The sequence below is a fragment of the Homo sapiens genome, chromosome 18, assembly GCF_000001405.40.
Source record: "Homo sapiens chromosome 18, GRCh38.p14 Primary Assembly".
NCBI lineage: Eukaryota > Metazoa > Chordata > Mammalia > Primates > Hominidae > Homo > Homo sapiens.
Genome location: NC_000018.10, coordinates 15,267,066 through 15,272,196, shown reverse-complemented (window position 1 = coordinate 15,272,196; position 5,131 = coordinate 15,267,066). Strand labels below are relative to the sequence as shown.

Here is a 5,131-nt window from a genome sequence, read left to right as displayed (position 1 = left end):
GTGAGGCCTGAAGACTGCTTAAAAAGCTTTGCCACATGCTTCACATTTGTAGGTTTTCTCTCCAGTATGATTTCTCTTATGTTCATTCAGTTTTGAGGAGTGTTTAAAGACTCTGACACATTCTTCACATTTATAGGGTTTCTCTTCAGTATGAATTCTCTGATGTATAGTAAGCTCAGAGGACCACTTAAAAGCTTTGCCATATTCTTCACATTTGTACAGTTTCTCTTCAGTATGAACTATCATATGCTTAGTAAGGCTTGAGGAATAGTAAAAGCCTTTGCCACATTCTTCACATTTGTAGGATTCCTCTCCACTATGACTTATCTAATGTTCATTCAGTTTTGAGGATAGTTTAAAGACTTTGCCACATTCTTCATATCTGTAGGGTTTCTCTCCACTATGAATTATCTTATATACATTAAGGTCTAAAGACTTCTTAAAAGCTTTGCCACATTCTTGACATTTGTAGTGTTTCTCTTCAGCATGAACTATATTATTTTGAATAAGGTTTGAGGAACAGTAAAACGCTTTGCCACATTTTTCACAATTGTATGGTTTCTCTCCAGTATGAATTGTCTTATATATAGTAAGATTTGAAGACCCTTAAAAGCTTTGATGCATTCTTGACATCTTAGTGCTTCTCTCCAGTATGAACTATCATATTCAGTAAAGCTTAAGGACCAGTAAAAGGCTTTACCACATTCTTCACATTTGTAGGGTTTCTCTTCAGTATGAATTCTCTTTTGTATAGTAAGCCCCAAAGACTGCTTACAAGCTTTGCCACATTCTTCACATTTGCAGGGTTTCTCTCCCATATGAATTCTCTTGTGTATAGTAAGGTTTGAAGACCACTTAAAAGCTTTGCCACATTCTTGACATTTGTAGGGTTTCTCTCCCCTATGAATTATCATATGTTTAGTAAAGCTTAAAAACCAATAAAAGGCTTTACCACATTCTTTGAATTTGTAAGGGTTCTCTCCAGTATGAATTCTCTTATGTAGAGTAAGGCCTGAAGGTTGCTTAAAAGCTTTGCCACATTCTTCACATTTGTAGAATTTCTCTCCAGTATGAGCTCTCATATGTTCATTCAGTTTTGAGAATTGTTTAAAGGCTTTGCCACATTCTTCACATTTGTAGGGTTTCTCTCCACTATAAATTCTCTGATGTATAGTAAGGTTCGAAGACCACTTAAAAATTTTGCCACAATCTTTACATTTGTAGGGTTTGTCTCCAGTATGAACTATGTTATGTTGAGTAAGGCCTGAGGAATAGTAAAAAGCTTTGCCACATTCTTCACATTTATAGGGTTTCTCTCAAGTATGAATTCTTTTATGTTCTTTCAGTTTTGAGGATTTTCTAAAGGCTTTGCCACTTTCATCACATTTGTAGGGTTTCTCTCCCATATGAATAATCTTATGTATAGTCAGGTTTGAAGACTACTTCAAAGCTTTGCCACTTTCTTCACACTTGTAGGTTGTATCTCCAATATAAATTTTCTTATGTTTATTCAGTCTTGAAGATTGTTTAAAGGCTTTATCACATTCTTCACACTTGTAGGGTCTCTCTTTAGTATGAATTCTCTCATGTATAGTAAGACCTGAAGACTGCTTAAAATCTTTGCCATATTCTTCACATTGGTAGGGTTTCTCTTCAGTATGAATTATCTGATGTTGTCTTAGGTGTGAGAACCTGTGAAAGAATTGGCCACATTCTTTACATTTGAAAGGTTTCTCTCCAGTATGTCTTCTCCTAAGTCTATTTGAATTTGAAAATTTCCTTAAGACTTTCACAAATGTATTACATTGAAGTATTTTGCTCTGAGTAATCGACAAACATTGGTTAAGTCCATTATAACCTCCTTCCTGCACCTTAGATGCATTCAAACTTTTACAGCCTTTTCTTATTTGTAAATTCTCATGTCTGCATTTCCCATATCTTCTCAGCATCACTTTTTGAAATGAATTTTTTGTGTTCTGATCTAGCCAAAGGTCTTGGGTGAAATGAGAACACAGCTGAAAGAAATTAAAATAACAAATTATCTCACTAGGCCCATGTAAATATACAAATCTATTGTTTACAAATCTAATACATAAAATTATACAAAGTACATTAGCAACATGGCATAACAAAAATACCACAGGTCTTAATTCTTTTATAGACTTATAACAAAACTGTACTGACCAAAATGTCTTTATGGAAAATCTAGAAATGAGTTAAGTGTGTTCAGTGTACCAGGTGAGCAAAATGCCACAAGCCATACTGAATGGATAGAAAAGCTTGTTACATTTGCCCAACACCTTTACTCCTCCATAATGCAGCATGGCACTTTTAGAAGTAAACTGCAATGCCTGGCATCTTCCTCAATATAGAAAAAGAAAAAACTGGCTCATGTATTTTTACTTCTGGCTTCTGGGCACTTTTACAGAGACTTGTTTCTGTCTCCAGTGACAAAATGTGCTGAAAGAAATGATGGTATACTTTGAAATAACAGCTTGAGTCTGCTGAGACCAAAGGTAAATGTTACAGCAACAAACTACAGTACCACAGACATGCAATATGTATAGGAAGTAATTACAGACTGTTAAGAAACACAGACAAACCTCTTTAACTGAATAATCAACACAAAATTCCACACAAGACACATCATAACATATTTGATAGGCTCCCAGAATCTCTAGTTGAGACAACTGGTTTCAGATTATGTTAGGACAACACCACATTATAAAGATTGTGAGAGGTAGCTGTTTGTTAATGTCCAAATCTCAACCAAAGAGTACAATACATACAAAATATTACAGTGACATGGCCTAAGTAAAAAAAAAAAAAAAACTTAAAACTGTCAGAAAACAACCATGAAAATAAAGATGTACACATTAATTTTAAAAATTTAACCTAAATGGGAACACAGGTAACTAAATAAAATCAGAAAAAAATAGAACATCAAGGAAAAGATGAAAAATATAATAGAAATTATGGAAGTAGAAAATAGAAATAGAAATAATGACTGACGCCAGGTGTAGTGGCTCATGTCTGTAGTCCCAGCACTTTGGGAGTTTGAGGCAGGCAGATCACTTGAACCTAGGGAGTTCAAGTTTAAACTGGGAAACATGGCAATACTTCTCCTCTATAAAAATTAAAATTAGTCAGGTGTATTGGCACACACTTGTGGTCCCAGTAAACAGGAGGCTGAGGTAGGAGGATCACATAAGCCTAGGGAACCCAAGGCTGCAGTAAGCTGCAATCATGCCACTGTACTCAAACCTGGGTGACAGAGCAAGACACTGTCTCAAAAAATTAAGAATACCTGAGAAATTCTCAAAAGTAAGAAAATAAGGTTGTAAAAATGAAGAAGCTCAACATACTAAAACTAGGAAACACACAGATCCATAACAAGACATGCAAAGCAAAGTTCCCAAAGTCACAGACAAGAAGAGAATCTCAAATGCTGGAAAATACATAATTATGGTTCTATGATATAACTAGTGACTCTTTCAACAAAAACCTTGCAGGCCAGAAGGAAATTGTGTGCTATAGTCGAGGTGCCAAGCGAAAAATAGCTTCTATGTAAGAATAATATAACCAGCAAAACTGTGCTACAAAAATGAAGAAAAAGGAAAGACCTCTAAAGATAACCAAATGTGGAAAAATTATATCAACACTACACGTGCCCTACAAAAAATGCTGAGAAGAGTCCTCCTACTAAAACTATATGATGCTAAAAAACAAAACTATCATATAAAAATAGGTAGCTTTCTAGGAAAGATATAAAGATATGCAAATATTATAGAAAAAATATCCTGTAGCATTATTATAATACCAAAAAATGTTTTATTTAATTATTCTCTAAAATTTAAAGATAAAAGCTAAAAATAATAATGAACATCTGTTAATAAATATATAACATAAATAGATATGTTTAGTGACATCAATAACTAAGTTGAGGACAGATGTAATAAGAAATAATTTGTGCATGGACCCAAATTTAAATTTCACCACTTCAAAATATATTGTTGAAATTTTAAGAGGTTTTTATATAATCCTGAAGGTGCCCACAAATAAAATGTCTGTATAGGCACAAAAAAGGAAATAAGAAAGAAGTGACAGCCTATCCATACAAAAATCAAAAAGACACAAAGGAAGATAGAATGAGAAACAGACCTATAAGAATCATTAAACAATAAAATAAATAATAATAATCTTTGTCTTCAGAAAATAAATATTTTAAAAATAGACTTGCCAATCAATACACATACATTGAATAGTGGGATTATATAAAATTTTATATACCAAGATCCAACTTGCCTTTCTTCAAGAGTCACTTGAGATCTAGTAGTGAAATCAGCCTGAAAGTGGTAAGTGGAAGAAGACATTTTAGGCAAACATTAACCAAATGAGAGCAGAAGAGATCAAAATTGTATTATACAAAATATATCATAAGTCAACAACTCTCTTATTTTATAAAATATACTCTATGTCAAAATTCACAAGAGAAAAAAGGTCATTAAACAATAATAAAGATATCATTTATTGAAAATGTATGACAAATATGTGCATACATATATTTATATGTTTGTGTGTGTATGTGTATTTCTCACATTAGGTTTCCAAAAATACAAAGCAAAAATTGACAAAATTAAAGCAACAAATAAAGAGCAATATAATTATAATAAGATATTTTAATACTTCAATTTCTGCAATGAACAATAAAACAAAACAATATTAATAATGGAAAAGAGGGCCAGGTATGGTGGCTCACGCCTGTAATCCCAGCACTTTGGGAGGCCAAGGCAGGCGATCACGGGGTCAGGAGATGGAGACCATCCTGGCTAACACGATGAAACCCGGTCTCTACTAAAAATACAAAAAATTAGCAGGGCGTGGTGGCAGGTGCCTGTAATCCCAGGCACTCAGGAGGCTGAGGCAGGAGAATGGCAAGAACCCAGGAGGTGGAGCTTGCAGTGAGACGAGATCCCACCACTGTACTCCAGCCTGGGTGAGAGCAAGACTCTGTCTCAAAAAAAAAAAAAAAAAAGGAAAAGAGAAACTGAAAGCAGTACAGATGGGAACAAGTGGCTCATGCTTGTAATTCCAGCACTTTGGGAGGCCAAGGAAGACAGATTACCTGAGG

General features: G+C 34.2%; 1 pseudogene; it reads right to left on the bottom strand.

Moving 5' to 3' along the window:
- Positions 1-969: 969 nt before the first annotated feature.
- Positions 970-2,015, bottom strand: LOC100652813 (zinc finger protein 138 pseudogene; annotated as a pseudogene).